The sequence below is a fragment of the Homo sapiens genome, chromosome 2 (assembly GCF_000001405.40).
Source record: "Homo sapiens chromosome 2, GRCh38.p14 Primary Assembly".
NCBI classification, from domain to species: Eukaryota; Metazoa; Chordata; class Mammalia; order Primates; family Hominidae; genus Homo; species Homo sapiens.
In genome coordinates, this window is record NC_000002.12 from 173934070 (window position 1) to 173951942 (window position 17873).

A 17873-nucleotide genomic window follows, 5' to 3' on the forward strand; every position below is an offset into this window, starting at 1 on the left:
AAAAATTAAAACATAAAAAAATTAGCAAGGCACAGTGCGGGGCACCTGTAGTCCCACCTACTCAGGTGGCTAACACAGTAGGATCACATGAGCCCAGGAGTTTGAGGCTGCAGTGAGCTATAATCATACCCCTGTAATCCAGTCTGAGTGAGAGAGAACTTGTCTCTAAAAAAAAAAAAGAGCAAACACTTAATTGATTAGAATGGGAAAAAAAGCAAAAATGGAAACAGACATCAAATACCATTTTTTAAATTCATTTTGGCCATCAAGTACTTTAAATCCTCTTTAAAACTTTCTTACCAAGTCTTTTTGAGTGGTTACTGCTGTTGAAACAAGTATAGGCTGAAAGAAAATTAAACAGGAGTGAAAAAACCAATTTATTTATAAAAAGTAGGGAGAAAGCAGGAAATAAATGACATAATGTTAATCAAAACTAAAGATATTTTCACCAATTTTCAAAAAGATTTCCTTACACCCTTTAAAGTTAACTTTCTGCCATTTATTAACACTGTAACAAAAAAGTCAATTGCCAGGCCTGTAACTCCGGCACTTCAGGAGGGAGACAGGAGGATTACCCAAGGCCAGGGGTTCAAGACCAGCCTGAGCAACACAGCAAGACCCCATCACTATAAAACATAAAAAGTAAAAAAAAAAATTAAATCAGCACTCTACTTATTTATCAACAAATATAAGGTATTACCTTCAAGGTCAAAAGCTTTGCTTTTACAGTTCTAAGGCTGAAACTCCTTTCTTCTAAAAATAAATACATTCTATTCCATCTTCACTTAAACATTCAAGAAAGAATTTTGGCATATAAGAGGATCCAAGGTAATGAATGGCTGAATTACATGAAGTAATGGGAATTAAATACTTTAAGTGGTAGAAAATAAAAAAGCATCACAAAGAAGGTCTTATGTAAATATAGCAGCAAATTTTGCTTAGGGAATAAGTGTACTGATATGTCGACTGGTATCAGATACCAGCAATTAATTCTTTCTTCCAAAACCTGTTTTAAAGTCGATGTTCTAGGCCAGGTGCAGTGACTCATGCCTGTAATTGGAGGCCGAGGCGGGAGAACTGACTGAGCCCAGGAGGTTCGGGGCTGCAGTAAGCTATGATTATGCCACTGTACTCCAGCCTGGGTGAGACAGTGAGACCCTGTTTCCAAAAATCATAAAGCTGGGTGTTCTAACTTATTAATGATCAGTCCAGGTTAAAAGAAGCTAACTTTTAAATAAAGCAGAGGTTATCACCTCTGCTAGAACTATCTAGAACTGACAGACAATCCATGTAGATGCTTTCCTGATGGAAAATAGTAAGACAAAACCAAAACCCAACCAACAAAACAATCAAAACCAAACTATCTGAGTGCAAACTAAACTTTACAATGCCAAATGTCAGGGGAAAGAGAAATCCTGTTTTCCTGTCACCCAAAGAAATATATTACCCACTAAAACTTTATTATCCTAAAAGAGTATCTCAGAAATGGTAGAAAATGTACACACTTCCTGCACGTTTTATGGTCCACACTCCACCATCCCCAAAATTTCCCAAAACATCTTCCTTTTTATAATTCCCCTGCTCAGTTTTATCAACTCTCCTGACTTCAACTGTGTCTATCAACCATCTCCTACAGAATTCCATTCCTTTGTCCTAGGCTCAGCCCTCCATCTCTACTAGCAACAATTATTTCAACCACAAATTCAATCCATTCCAACTAGTGTCATCTTGGAGTCCCCAGATCAGTTTTCCCCTCACAAACGTGCCAATGATATAACTTTAAAACAACGGATTCATCTCTTGTATTCCTGATAGCTAATCACCAACGGATTCATCTCTTGTATTCCTGATAGCTAATCACCAATCCTATAAAATTCATACTTTGAAATGTCTGGCATTCTTCCTTCCTTCCTTACTTTCTCCCTGTTTAAATAAAGTAGCCCCTTTTACCTTTTTTGTTTTTTTGGTTTTCTTTTGAAACGGAGTCCCGCTCTGTCACCCAGGCTGGAGAGCAGTGGCACAATGTCAGCTCACTGCAACCTATGCCTCCTGGGTTCAAGCAATTCTGTCTCAGCCTCCTGAGTTGCTCGGACTACAAGCACACGCCACCACACCTGGCTAATTTTTTTCTATTTTTAGTAGAGACAGGGTTTCACCATATTGGTCAGGCTGCTCTTGACCTCAGGTGATCCACCTGCCTTGGCCTCCTAAAGTGCTGGGATTACAGGTGTGAACCACCATGCCTGGCCCCGCTCCTACCTTCTTTAGTGCTAGTTTCTTCCCATTCCACTCTGTTCTGAAGGTTATGTCTTCCAAGCATTGATTTATTCACGTTATTCCTCTGTTCAAAAACTTTCAAAGGCTCCTTAAGTAAGGTTAAAAATAGTGCAACCCTCACCAATAGTATTCAGTGCTTTTCATTCTCTCACCATACTTATTCAAATGTGTCCTATCAGCCACCAGTCACCAAACTGCCCAGATTTCTATTCATGCTATAACAGCATTTCCCAAAGTAGTTCCTCACAAGTAACCCAATGAAATACTAATCAATACAGATGTATAATCTAAAAAAGAAAAAAATGCTGCTTCCTTTCCTTAAATAGGTTTATTTCCCACAGGATTTCTCAGAAACTTTAACATGCTAATAAGCATTTTTATAACATTTAATAATACCTATTAATATCTTACGAACCATTTTTGGAGAAACACTTTGCCTTGCCTCTATTCTTACCTTTTTTTTTTTTAAACCTTGTTAGTAAACATCTTCCTCTCATCTCTCTACCTATACAAATCTAGATTCCCCATTAAACTTCTCTCTTCTCTATTAGGTCTCCTGGAGCCTTTTTTGATTTTCTGTTCCTCTGAACTTCTACACAGTTATCTGTATCATGCAATTTAGTGACTTACTATATTGATTTATATTGCAGATCACACACTGATTTATATTGTTGATTACTACTCCATGTATCTATCTTAAATACTCCAATAAATCTGTAAGCTTCTTGAGAAAATGAACACATACATACTTCTACAGACAATACAAAAAAAGCACACAGTTGACTATTTACATTTTCACAGTAAGAAACTTGTTCACCCGCTCTCTCAAGTTCTTGAGCCTTTATTAACCCTGTGCCCAAACAAGGCTGCCAAATGAAAGCAGCAAAGACATTTATTAAAAATTTATCTGACTTTCCCCTTCATATGCAAGAAAAACCAAGAACACTTCCACTGCAGTTTAGTGTGACTGGTTATCCCCTGAAATTTATCAACTACCTTCTTCATTAACACAAGAGATAATGCAGGGAAATAGCCTAAACAGTCAAAACTTCATCTTCAAGGCTTTCACAACAGAACCATAAAATCCTCTTCCACTTGTGAATCAAGTAAGTATACAAACCCTGCCCAAGCTGTTACTATGAACAAAGCTTACTAACTCAAACATCACAGGAGATGTTGGAACCAAAATTAAAGTCCAATCTTACTTTATGTTAAATTTCTTGAAAAAAAATTTTTAAATAATTCTGATGCTCACTAAAGTCCGAGAAAAAAATGTTTAAAAAGAAGTTTTAAAATATTTTTTAATCCAAATTTTCTACTCATTAAAAACATGAGGCTAAAACTCACATTCTCAAAACCTTTTTACTCTAGAAAATCTCCAATATATACCAAAGTAGGAAAGCATAACAAACTCCCATGTACCCAACACCCAAATTCCACAAACTCTGGGACAATTCTATTTCATGTATAACCCAAACTACCTCATTTTGAAACAAATCCGAGATATAACATTTCATCTGCAAATATTTCATTATGTACTGCTCAAAGATAAAGAACTTACAAAAAATCTCTCATCATGTTATTCTTAGAATAAAAATACACTAAATCTACAGTGTTAAAAAATGACTTTAGGGCAAGTCATTTAATTCTCCTAAATTCTCTCATATGCACGTAAGACTAAACCTAACGTTCCTCTTGCTTCTCTTAGTTTCTTCCCCCACAGGTTTATATGTTGGCTTCTGAAACATAATTCTTAATGTCAAGAGTTTTTAAAAAGCTACAAATTTAACACAATTACAGAATTGGTAGAGGTATGAAACACAGAATGCAACTATCACATCTGAACAAAGTTATAATCCCAGCACTTTGGGAGGCCAAGGAGGGTGGATCACCTGAGGTCAGAAGTTCAAGACCAGCCTAGTCAACATGGTGAAACCCTGTCTCTGCTAAATATACAAAAATTAGCCGGGCGTGGTGGTGGGCGCCTGTAATCCCAGCTACTCGGGAGAGGCTGAGGCAGGAGAATCACTTGAACCTAAGAGGCAGAGGTTGCAGTGAGCCGAGATAGTGCCATTGTGCTCCCGTCTGGGCAACAAGAGCGAAACTTTGCCTCAAAAAAAAAAAAAAAAAAAAAAAGCAACCAAACAGGTAAAATTTACATTACACATTTCCACACAAATCTACGTTTATTCTGTATCTATTATTGGCATCTCTTCATTTTATCCATCAAAAAAAAGAATGCAGAAAAAAAAAAGATGAGTAAGCAATGACTGCCCAATCCCAAAACAAGAAATACATGTTAGCTATAATACAAGACAAAGGACAAGTGCTATTAAACAAGCGGTAATTCAAAGGTGGCAAGAAGAAGGGAAGGCTGCGGGATAAGGCAGTATCTGGGCTAAGTCTTGAAAGATGTCAACCTGAAGGTTACTCCACTATTCCTGTTTCTAAAGTGCTGTGGGGTTCAATGTTAATATACCATTTATCACATTATACTAGAATCATGTGCATGTCTGTCTAACCCAATGATTCTTAAGGGGGAGATGAAGAACTGTCCTCCAGGGGACATCTGGCAATGTGTGAAGCCATTTTTTTTATTATCACAACTGCCTGGGGTACAGAGTGCTACCAGCATCTAGTGGGTAAGTCAGGAATGCTCCTCAACATCCTACAATGCAGAGGACAGCCCCAAAACAAAGAATCATCAGGCCCAAAATATCAACAGTGCAGAGGTTGAGAAATCATAGTCTAACTTGTTAGATTATGAGCACCTTTAGTGCAAGAATTATCATATTCATCTTTGTAATTCCAGTATCTGGCATGCACAGCAAGAGCGCTGTAAGTTATCTGTAGACTCAACAGACCTCAATTTAAAGGTAATGGAAGAGCCAGTAAAGACTTTACAGAAAGCAACATGATCTGTGTTTAGGGAAAATGACTGATACCAAAATGATGTATTGGAACAGTTTCTAGTATCTTACAAAATTTAAAATGCACATATTCTCCAACCTTGGGATTGTGCTTTCAGATGTATATGCTTCAGATATGCATACTTTAACAAAAGAAATGACACATCTGTATAAGGATATCTACTGCAGCATTTTTGAAATAAGATTAAAAATTTTTGTGACATCTGGCCAGGCACGGTGGCTCATGCCTGTAATCCCAGCACTTTGGGAGGCCGAGGCAGGTAGATCACCTGAGGTCAGGAGTTTGATAACAGCCTGGCCAACATGGTGAAACACTGTCTCTACTAAAAATACAAAAAATTAGCCAGGTGTGGTGGCATGGGCCTGTAGTCCCAGCTACTCAGGAGGCTGAGGCAGGAAGATCACTTGAGCCAGAGAGGCGGAAGTTGTAGTGAGCCAAGATTGCGCCACTGCACTCCAGCCTGAGCAACAGAGCAAGACTCCAACTCAAAAAAAAAAAAAAAAAAGTTACACTGATTTTGGGGGAGGAATTAAAAAGATTAAAAATGTAAAAATTTTTTTTAAAAATAAATTTTTGTTAATGCACCAGAAAGGAGGGGGCATGGAAAATGGAAGTTGTTTTTTAAGAGAGAGTCACCCAGGCTGGAGTGCAATGACTCAATCATAACTCACTGTAGGCTTGACCTCCTGGGTTCAATCAATCCTCCCATCTCCGCCTCTCTGAGCAGACAGGACTATGGGCACACATTACTGTGACCAGCTAATTTTTTTTTGTTTTTTGGTAGAGGCAAGGTCTTGCTTGGTTGCCCAGACTGGTTTCAACTTCCTGGCTTCAAGCAATTCTCCCAGCCTCAGCCTCCCAAAGTGCTGGGATTATGCCACCACACTCAGCCTAGATTAGATGTCTTAATAGTAGTCTAGGACAGCGGTCCCCAACCTTTTTGGCACCAGGGACCAGTTTCATGGAAGACAATTTTACTGCTGACAAGGGAGATGGTTTCAGGGTGAAACTGTTCCACTCACTCAGATCATTAGGTATTAGATTTTTCATAAGGAGCTTGCAACCTAGATCCCTCGCATGTGCAATTCACAATAGGGTTCGGGCTCCTATGAGAATCTAATGCTGCTGTTGATGTGACAGGAGGCGGAGCTCAGCCAGTCATGCTTATCGCCCACTGCTTACTTTTTGCACTGTGGCCTTGGCACCCGGGGGTGCAAGACCCCTGGTCTAGGAGACCAGTAAGAGCCAAACTAACAAACTGAGAATGGAGAGGATGAACAGATAACAAAAATATGGCAGAAACAGAACAAAAAGGACTTGGAACTTTCCACCAGGAAACAGAAGATTGAAGTTTGCATGTGTGCCCAGCAGCTAAAGGTAGCTGGAGAAAAAACACAACTGTGCTAATTATTCAAGCAGGCACCCAGTACTGCTGCAATTCTACATCTCACATTTCACTTTCCAATTCTCAGATGACCACTTCATACCTTCTTCCTTCTCAAACTTCCTAACACCTGGCCCTCTCACCCATCTTAGCTTGTTTCTTATCACAAAAGGAAATAAGGAATAATCTGACAAGAATTATCTTATCTTCCAATCAACATATCTGTATCTCTGAATGTCTATCCAATGCCCTTTCCCTGTTATAATGACCCCTACTCCTGTGTCCAACCCTTAAACCTGTGTCCTGTGTTTCACCTTGCTTGTTTTCTTAAAACATCCCTCTCTCATCCTCTTTCATACTTTCTCTCCTCTATCATTAATTTGTGGCGAGATTCTTAGAAAACCAACCTCCTCAACCAGGTCCACCTCCAGCTACCACCTATTTCAATGTTGCTCACAACACGAGTAAAAAAAAAAAAAAAAAAAAAGTCTGTAATTACTCTCACTAAATCCTCTTCACCTTTTAAATCATTCTACTCATGCTTTCCTCCCCAGCACTCTTAATGAAACCACTTGTTAAAAGTCACCAACAATCATTATCTTACTAAATCCAATATCCCGTTCTCTCTCATCTTATGTACCCTCCACAATATATGAATAGATAATGCTAGGCATGGTGGCTCATGCCTGTAATCCCAGCACTTTGGGAGGCTAAGGCAGGTGGATAACGTGAGACCAGGAGTTCGAGACCAGCCTGGTCAACGTGGCAAAACCCCATCTCTTCTAAAAATTACAAAAAATTAGCCAGACATGGCAGCACACATGTGCAGTCCCAGCTACTTGGGAAGCTGTGGTGGTAAGGTCACCTGAGCCCGGAAGGTCCAGGCCAGTGATCATGCCACTGCACTCCAGCCTGGGTGATAGTTGAGACCCTGCCTAAAAAAAAGAAAAGAAAGGGATAAGCATTCCCTCCTCCTTTCTTAAGTAATTTACACACTTGGCTTCCAGAATATACTTGGCTTTCATGGAAGCTCCTTCTGTTTCCTTTGCTAGCTCTTCCTCTACTTCTCACCCTCTATATGTTGGGAATGCCCTAGGACTCATTCCTAAGGCTTTCCCTCAATTTTGGATACTTAAGTTTCAGTTCCTGAATTTCTATTTGGTTATTTTACAAATCTGCAGTGTCATTTCTGTTACAGTCTCCAACTCTGTTAAAATTTTTTCAAGCTTGGCTTGTATTCCCTAGACCACAGTAAGTAGTTTTTAGTCTATTTCCATTGTTTCTGCTGGTTCTCATTCACGGTATCTTACCTTCTCATATGCCTGGTGGGTTACATTTGATTCTGTGCCAGACCCTGCATTTAAAAAGTCTAGAATAGTAACTTGAGGCTCAGAATATGATTTCCCAAGTTCTTCTCTATGTATATTCTTTCTCTACTAAGTTAGAAATTCTTAAACCAGCTGCACTTCAAAATCACTTTGGGATTTTTACAACACAACTTTCCTGGTTTCATGCAGAGCAATTAAACTAGAATTGGGAGGAGGATGAACACAAGTTGTTGGCACTTCTAGAAAGTTCTCTGTGAGATCCTACAATGCAGTCAAAAGTTGGGGCCGGGAGCAGTGGCTCACAAGGCCTGTAAGCCTGTAATCCCAGCACTTTGGGAGGCCGAGGCAGGTGGATCACTTGAGGTCAGAAGTTCAAGACCAGCCTGGCCAGCATGGTGAAACCCCATCTCTATGAAAAATACAAAAATTAGCCGAGCGTGGTGGCGCATGCCTGTAATCCCAGCTACTTGGGAGGCTGAGGCAGGAGAAACGCTTGAACCCAGGAGGTGGAAGTTACAGTCAGCCAAGATCATGCCACTGCACTCCAGTCTGGGTGACTGGAAAAGAAACTATGACCTGAATATTTCATCGAGTCATATCTGTATACACTAATGACACCCTAAATTCTACCTCCAGCCCAACCTGACCACTAGATTCTGATATTCCACTGTTTACTGGAACCATCCACTTGTAGATCTAATAGTCATTTCAGATTTAACAAAGCCATAACAGACTTAATTCCCACTTTACTCCACCCTTCCCTAGATTTTCTTCATTACTAGCCTAGCCAAACTATCATCTTTTGCTTGTACAGTCAGCCCTCCACAGGTTCTATATCTGTGGATCCAATTAACTGTAAATCAAAAATGTTTTTTTAAAAACACAAAAATAAAAATATAAAATTTAAAATACAGTACAACTATATATATAGCATTTACATTATATTAGGTATTATAAGTAACTAAGAGATGATTTAAAGCTTGTGGGAGGATGTGTGTAGGTTATATGCAAATACTACAAGAGACTAGAGCATCTGGGGATTTTGATATTCTAGGGGGTGTAGGGAGTATCCTAGAACCAATGCCCAATGGATACTGAGGAATGACTCTATTGCTCCATCAGCCTTATGCTTACTCTGAGGCAGGGACCTGCTGGCGTGATCTTTTAAATACATAAATTATATCAGTTCCCTATTTAAAACCTGCCAATGTTTTCCTATGAGACATGAAATAAATCCAATTTCCCTACCATGGCGTATATTATCTGGCCCCTGACTGATTCCAATCTTATTTTCTAACACTCCTCATTCATGAAATTCCAGCCACCTTGCTCATTCCCTCTTCCTGGAATACTCTTTCCTCCAAATGTCAATGTGACAGGCTCCTTTATCAATGTTCAGATCTGTAGTTCAATTTCATTTTCTCATAAGGCGGGATTTCCTAACCATCATATTTAAAATAACCACCATACTCCATGGTTATTCCATAACTCTGCTTTACTTTCCTTTTTAATTTTCTTTTTTATGAGATGGGGGTCTCACTATGTTGCCCAGGCTGGTCTCGAACTCCTGGGCTTAAGTGAACCTCCCACTTCGGTATTCCAATGTGCTGGAATTAAAGGCATGAACCACTGCTCCCTGCGCTGCTTTATTTTCTTCATAACACTAATTATTTAAAAGTATTGTATTTGCTTATTTGTCTTCATCCACTAGAATACAAGATTCATGAGAAGAGGGACTTAGTCTTTTTCACTGCTGCAAAGAACATTACCTAGAATAGTGTAATATACAACCATTTGTCACTTAATGACTGGGATACATTCTGAGAAATACATCATTAGGCGATTTCATCACTGTACAAACATCACAGTCTTTCTTACACAAACCTAGTGGTATAGTCTACTACATATCTAGGCTATAGGTATAGTCTATTGTTCACAGGCTAAGAACCTGTATAGCAAGTTACTCTACTGAGTACTATAGGCAACTGTAAACATGATGGTATGTATCTGTATATCTAAACATAACAGAAAAGGAATCGTAAAAGTCTTACATCTTATGGGACCACCATCATATATGTGGTTCGCTGCTGACTGAAACATCATTATGCAGCATGTGACTATAACCTCAAACATTTGTTGACTGAATCAATGACTGACTAACCTAGGTTGCTGGGAGAATGATGGTCCTATTTTCATCAGAGAATTTATGAGATTTATGAAAACAACGTCACATGTTAAGTACCTTCATAAAATAAAGCTGAAGGCCAGGCATGGTGGCTCATGCCTATAATCCCAACACTTTGGGAGGCCAAGGCAAGCGGACTGCTTGAGCTCAGGAGTTCGAGGCCACCCTGGGCAACATGGCAAAACCCCATCTCTAGAAAAAATACACAAGATTAGCCAGGTGTGGTGGCACACACCTGTAGTCCCAGCTAACTCAGGAGGATTGCTTGAGCCTGGGAGCTGGAGATTGCAGTGAGCCAAAACTGCACCACTGCACTCCAGCCTGGGTGACAGAGCTAGACCTTGTCTCAAAAAAACTGTTAAGTTGAATACAAAAATTGTCCCCAAGAACCACTAAAATGATGAGGCAGTTTAGAGAACAAGCTGTAATAAAGTTCTTCTCTTGGAATAAAATACGGCATTACTGAAAAATATATCAACACTCTAATGAAGAGCACACATCAGGTGATTTCCATTCTTTTATGTTCATCCAGAATCCTTATTTGCATTATTGTTGCTGACTAAATTATGGGGTAAATTTGGTTATTAAACTAAATATACTATTCCAAAAAAATTAAAGAGAAAAGTACTAAAAAACAAAACAAACCAAAAAAAACCACCAATGGTGGGACGGTGGTTCATGCCTGTAATCCCAGCACTTTGGGAGGCCAAGGCAGCTGGATCACTTGAAGCTAGGAGTTTGAGACCAGCCTGGCCAACATGGTGAAACCCTGTCTCTACGAAAAACAAACACTGAGCAGCCATTTGTTCAAGATGCATTTAATAAGTTGAATTAGTTGAGCTCTCTAAAATTCTATGGTTTAAATCACATAGCTATATCAGAACAAGTAAATGGTTATAATATTTACTAATGTTAAATTAAATACACTTCAGGTTGATGAAAGTATCATCCTTAAGGATGGGTCTCATGGAACTATGAACACTATTTTTCCATAGAATACTAAGAAACCAAAGTGTGACCAAAACCATATATTTAAAATTACTTTATTTTAAAGGTCACACAATGCATTTTAGATCTTCTAGTCTAAGAAAGTATAATTTAAAATACCCAATTTCTTCCACATACTGTTCCCACTACATCAGAAGACTTGTAAATCCATACAAACTAAATTCAAAAACTACACCTCAAAGTTTCTAAATTGTTATACTAAAAAAAGTCTAGTAAGAACTTATGTATACCTCAACTCAACATGACTAAACCTGAAGGCAAAAAAATGATGACATTATTTGTAGTGTGGGACAAAAGATTAATATCCCAGACATATAAAGACATTTACAACATCTTTATGTATACAGTATACAAGAAGTATGCTATACTAGTGGGGGAAAATAAAAAACATAAAAGGCAATTTAACAAAAAAACACAAATAGCCAATGAACATGCACATATGTTCAACTTCCTTAATAAAAACTCCACTGTACACTACTTGTGAGGTGAAAGAGGTAAATAACATCTTAATATTATGAAAATAGCTTTGACTTCACTCTCCCATTAAAGGATCACGGGGACACCTCCCCCAGGGGTCTCAGATCACACACTGAGAACCACTCCATTAGTATTTTGGGATAATATTATATGATGTCAGATTTGCTTTAAAATAACCCAGCAAACGTCAGGCCTGGTGGCTCATGCCTTAATCCCAGCACTTTACGAGGCTGATGTGGACGGATCATTTGAGGTCAGGAGTTCAAGACCAGCCTGGCCAACGTGGTGAAATCCCATCTCTACTAAAAAACACAAAAATTAGCCAGGCATGGTGGCAGGCTCCTGTAATCCCAGCTACTCTAGAGGCTGAGGCAGGAGAATCACTTGAACCCAGGAGGTGGAGGGTGCACTGAGCCAAGATCACACCACTGCACTCCAGCCTGGGTGACAGAGCAAGATACGGTCTCAAAAATAATAATAAATTGATTAAATAACCCAGCAAAAAAAAAACTTTAAATGGTAGAAATAAAGGAAACAAGAATAGCAGGGTGTTCATAATTGCTAAAGCTGGGAAAGGGGTACATGGAAGGTTCATTATATATTGTTTTTGTGTACTTTTGAAATTTTTTATATTTCTAAGTTACCAATATTACTGATTTTTTTTTTTTAAAGAGATGGGGGTCTATCTTGCCCAAGCTGGTCTTAAACTCCTGGCCTCAAGCAATTCTCCCACCTCAACCTCCGGAGTAGCTGGAACTAAAGGCATGTACCACCACACTGGGATTCAAATCATCAATTTTTTAAATCCATTTCTGTAATTACTGTTATTTCCTCATTTCCAACTCATTTCCTCAGGATCCATTTTTCCTACTTAATCCTACAGTAGTCAGTTCAATAAAGGTCTTTGAATAATAGTATTTTAAATATCTTCACTAAACTCTGAATCTTGAATAGTAGTTTAATTGCCCACTGAATTCTGGGCTGCTGGTTATTTTCTCTCAGCACTCTGAATGTTACTCCACGATCTTCTGACATCTGTGTGGCTAAAAAGAAAGATCTGCCTTTTTTTTTTTTTTTTTTTAAGACAGGGCCTCGGTCTGTCACCAGTGTGGAGTGCAGTGGCACAATCACAGCTCACTGTAGCCTCAACCTGCCAGGCTCAAGCAATCCTCCCAACTTAGCCTCCCCAGTAGCTGCGACTACAGGTGTGTACCACCACGCCTGGCTTTTTTTTTTTAAGGTAGACGGAGGGTCTTACTATGTTGCCCTGGCTGGTCTCAAACTAACTCCTGGGTTCAAGTGATCCTCCTGCATTGGCTTCCTAAGGTGGTGGGATTAGAGGCATGAGCCACCATACCTAGCTGGGCTATCATTCCTTGTAAGTAATCTGTCTTCTCTCTGTTAACATTTAAGATGTTAATGTAACATCTCTGTAATGTCTGTGATTTTAGTTCAAGTCAGAGATGAACTTATTTCTACTTATCAACATACTTGAAATAAAACTTGATCTGTAGATTGTACTTCTTCAACACAAGAAAATTCTTAGCCATTATTTCATCAAACATTGCTTCTCTTGCCATTCACTTTATTCTTTTCTTCTGAAATTCCTACACTGGTGGTTCTCAATCTATCCTCCATGTCTTAACTGCTCGTTCATTATCTCTGTGTGGTATTCTGGGTAAATTCCTAAGCATATTACTATTTGCTCAATCCATTCTAAAGGTTGTCTTTTTTCTCCCCGAAAAACTTTTATGTTTCATCTAAGAAAAAGCACTACCAGTTTAAAAAAAAAGAGAGAGAAACACTGACATGCCTTGAATAGCAAGATGCACTCCGATTTCAAAAAATTGTCTTAGAATCAATGAAATGGGTTTCTCATGTACAGGATTTGATTGTTTTTCCGTATTTATTGTTTTTGTTTCACTTCTTTTCTATAGATGCTATTGCTTCTTTTATCTCACTGACAATTGCAAGCATACTGATTTTCAAAGTCTTCAACAGAATGTTTTGTTTTCTTTAATCTGACATGAATTCATCTCCTAATTGTTGATTTTATCAGCTATCTTTCACAGATTTTGTCTTCATGTATTTTGGAATTTAGGTTTGCAGGATCATCTTGAATACAATTTTTTTCTTTCTTTCTCAGTATTACAATTTTGGGTCTGGCATTTCTGCAAGCCCCAAAACTCATATATAACTCTTGTAAGCAGTAATACTGGCTATATCACAAATCCAAACACTCAGCTAACAGTTCAATGGTTCAGATTGGTTCAGATGTGGTGGTCGTAAGACTGTGCTGATGTCCTCCTATTTTCCTGCATCATCGTCTCATCTCCGTAAATCTTCATTTAAGTCATACCTCAGGATAACAAACAGCAACAACTTTTTGTAGCTCCCCTTTAACAAAAAAGAGCCCTACTCCAGGCTCTTGTTTTCAGCAATGAATCTAACTCTGGGTTTTTCTGCATGTAGGGTACTTTTATCTATATTAATAGCTAATTAAATAGGATGTAATTCTTGACCTAAATACTTAGCAAGTATAGGAAGTCCTTATACCCTTATCCAAGGTTTTGCTTTCCACAATGGTTTGTTACCCATAGTCAATCACAGTCTGAAAACATGAAATTAAAAATTCCAGAAATAAAGACTTCGCAAGTTTTAAATTACATGCCATTCTTTGCACTAAGAAATCTCATGCTGTCTCATTCCATCCCACCTGGGACATGAATCATTCCTTTGTCCAGCCTATCCACTATACATGCTACCCACTCATTACCATATAGTAAAAACCATAGTGTATATAGGGTTTGGTACTCCCTGAGGTTTCAGGATCCACTGGGGGTCTTTGAACTATCCCTCACTGATAAGGGGGGCGACTATTCTATTTTCATCCTCCTAAAACTAAAAATTAAGCAATATTGTAAAAAGTGTATATGCAGTATAATTATGACAATATTTTAAAATATATGACACTAAGTCTTATTCCTAAGAGATAAGAGAAAATTTCACTTTCTACATTAAATATTTCCATAATGTTTTTGTTTTCCATATCAAGCCATGTATTACTTTTGTAAGCAAATCAACTTTAAGTACAGAAAATAAATAATTATAAGTCTCAAAATTAATAAACCAAAAAAATCGTTGGAAAATCAGAATATGAATAGGTTTTCCCCAAGCATTAAAATAAAAATCTTAATTTCTAAAATTTAAAGACCATAGCATGCAATACATACATGATTCACAAATGAACAGGAACTCAGACATAACCAAGCTAAGTGGTATGATACCTAAATAAACCATCCTCAGGTTATTTTTGATAAGACAACTTTAAAGTCTACAGAAAGCAACAGTGTAAAAGTCTTACACAACAACCTTTTATGTTGTGTAAGAGGGGCAAAAGGAGATCTACCAATTACTTAAAATCAGCACAGATCATAGTCATCACATTTTGTCTATTCTTTTTGTAACTCTAAAAAGACCACATTTCCATCATACACTCTACTTTTCAAGCAATAGGGTTGGCCTTTTAGCAGTATTTGTGCATTTCTATAATCAACCAGTTCTGACAGTGATCCCTTAGGTAAAATCAGTAAGGATTTATCTTTCACCTTGTTAGAATCACAAATAAAAATGTTTCAGAAGACATTTCCTCCACTTACCATGTAGAAAATACTTTATTCAAGGCTAGTATTTTACCCTCAAAAAGGAAAAAAAAAAAATCTGAAATAAAAATAACCAAAAAAAGGGAAGAAAAATACAATACTGATATAAATTAAAGAGCACACTGCCAAGACACTATAGGAGAGTGAAAAGAACAAAGCCTAGTTGTGAAGCCTTGGGCCAGTTACTTTCCTATCCAACCGTGAGAATAGTAAATAGATTAATGTAAGAAAGAATTATATGAGATAATACACCTAAAAACACCTAAACAGTACCCGATAGAGTAGGAGCCCATAAGAGATCCATCCCTCTTTCGCCTGTCAATCTTTAAATACTTAAATATTAAGTTAAAAAAGCCTGCCTTTTATAAGGCTTCTATTTTCTCAAAAAAAGATAGCTACCAGTTAACCTGCAACTATCCAGTTTTTCATGAATAATGGGGAATTCTAAACATTAAGTTGTTTGCTTTTAAGAAGAAATGACTTCTATAAACTCTTCTTCCAACTTCAAACACCTGACTCCATTTTAAATGTGCCCAGTCTTGAAAGATTAACTGTATTTTAGATAAAACAAAATCTGACAGAGGACTAAAATTTGAGAGACTGAATTAAGTCTTGGCTTAAATTTGGGGGAAATTTTGACATTGGAAAGATACATAAATTCACACTTTGCCTCCTCTTACCCAGTTTCAAATATACAGCAACGATAAAGTAAAAATGAGACAACAATGAAGTTTCCTAAAACAGCATGCATTTCTCAGTGGGCCACAAATGGACAGAAATATGTAAGATTAGTAGGGTTTCAGCTTGGCGCCTGATGTTTCCAGGAAGATGGAGATTTGCCTTCTAAAGGATAAGGAGTAGTAAAAGTACCCCAAAAAAGAAGGGAACAAAGTCAGACTTACTGCTTAATACAGGCTCGAGTAGAGGTCATTTTTGTTAAAGGGGTCCTTTAAACTTAACAAAAACAAACAAAAAGGCAAGTTCCAGAGCCCTGGTTTAAAAAAAAAAAAAGTACTTTCTCCTTTATTTTGGGAAATTGTTACATTAATGTCATGCTTATCAAAAGTAAAGTGCAGGCTAGGCACAGTGGCCCATGCCTATAATTCCAACACTTTGGGAGGCCAAGGCAAAAGGACTGCTTGTGCCTAGCAGTTCAAGACCAACTTGGGCAACATAGCAAGATGCCATCTCTACAAAAAATTTAAAACTTAGCTGGGCATGGTGGCGCTAGCCTGTAGTTCTACACATTCAGGAGGCTCAGGCCAGGAGTTTGAGATCACAATGCGTTATAATCATGCCACTGCACTCCAGCCTAGAAAACAGAGACCCTGTCTCTTAAAAAAAAAAAAAAAAAGTAAAAAAGGCAAACCAAGGATGTCAAAGTTTTCAGCATTTTCATCTGGGCATACTACACGTAACACTGAAACAAAAATGTTTTGCTCTGATTTTCTAGTGAGAAAAAGCATCTTAACATATCTCCCTTCTTGCCAATTAGAAAGATAGTATACCAAGAGAAAGTTTATATCCTCAAAATGAATTTATTACTAAATATGCTATGTCTTATACAGCATTTTTATTCTCACTTGCTTTAACTTTTACTTTCTCAAATAATTTCCCCGTTCCTTTAAAATCAGGACAAAATTCAAATTTAATGGCTTTCTGGAGTATTTATTTTACCCTTCCTGGGCAACATTCAATAAACTAAAATTCCATTTTGTATTCAATATACACAGTGTTTCTATTCTGATAACATTTGAAAAGAAATTACTTTACTGAAGAACTTGGTGCTTTATACCAACTTCATTTCATGACCAACATAAATCCACAAAAATCAAAGTTTCTAGATTTATTTTCTAACACCTATAGAACGCTGTAACATTAATTTTGTACACACATTAAAAACTAGTTTCTAAAAACTATCTTTTATGTCTTCAGTAGTCTGTCACTTAACTCAAACCTTTTAGTCTCAGAACTCCTTTCCAAACTTACACATTACTGACGTTCACAAAAAACTTCTGTTCATGTAGTATATGTGTATACTGATACTTACCATATCATAAACAGAAATTTAAATTTAGTTCATTTAAAAATAAATCCATTACACGTTAACATAAATTAACATTTTATGAAAAACATTTTTCAAAACAACAAAAAAAGTTTAATGAGAAAACCATGTTTTACATTTTCACAAATCTCTGTAATGTCTAGAGTGAATAAAAGAAGACATTTAAAGTCTCAGATCTGCTCCTGCATTCAATCTCTTGCAATATGGTTCGGGCTGAACCATATGAAGAGTATCTACTCACGGATATCTACCTGGAAAGGGCAAGAATAACTTAATATCCTTTCAGCCAATTGTGGGTTTTCTTTGAATACTACACCAAACTTAACAGGTGGCAGTTTCTTCAAGTTCAGTCCAAATGTGGAATCTGACACTACCTGTAAACTTTCTATACTGTTATTGGTCTATCTCGCACTTTGAATGGATCTTTTACTCATGCATGATTTTATAATATAATGAGTTGGTCATCTGAAAACTGCCGGTTCACTGAACTATCATACAGATCTTCCAAGTGTTAGCACATTACATTAAAATACAGTATCAAAAAAGCTTTGTTAGT

General features: G+C 37.5%; 1 protein-coding gene across 3 annotated transcripts in view, besides 1 other annotated feature; it reads right to left on the reverse strand.

The window, feature by feature from the left end:
- The window catches only part of SP3 (Sp3 transcription factor), a 64928-nt gene that overhangs the window by 33295 nt on the left and 13760 nt on the right, over window positions 1-17873 (reverse strand). The gene's annotated exons all lie outside the window — the stretch shown is intronic.
- Window positions 6004-6143: an enhancer, noted in NCBI's record as "active region_16769". NCBI's record gives its function as "activates an Ori minimal core promoter by ATAC-STARR-seq in GM12878 lymphoblastoid cells {active_cell/tissue: GM12878}" and the evidence as "EXISTENCE:reporter gene assay evidence [ECO:0000049][PMID:35858748]".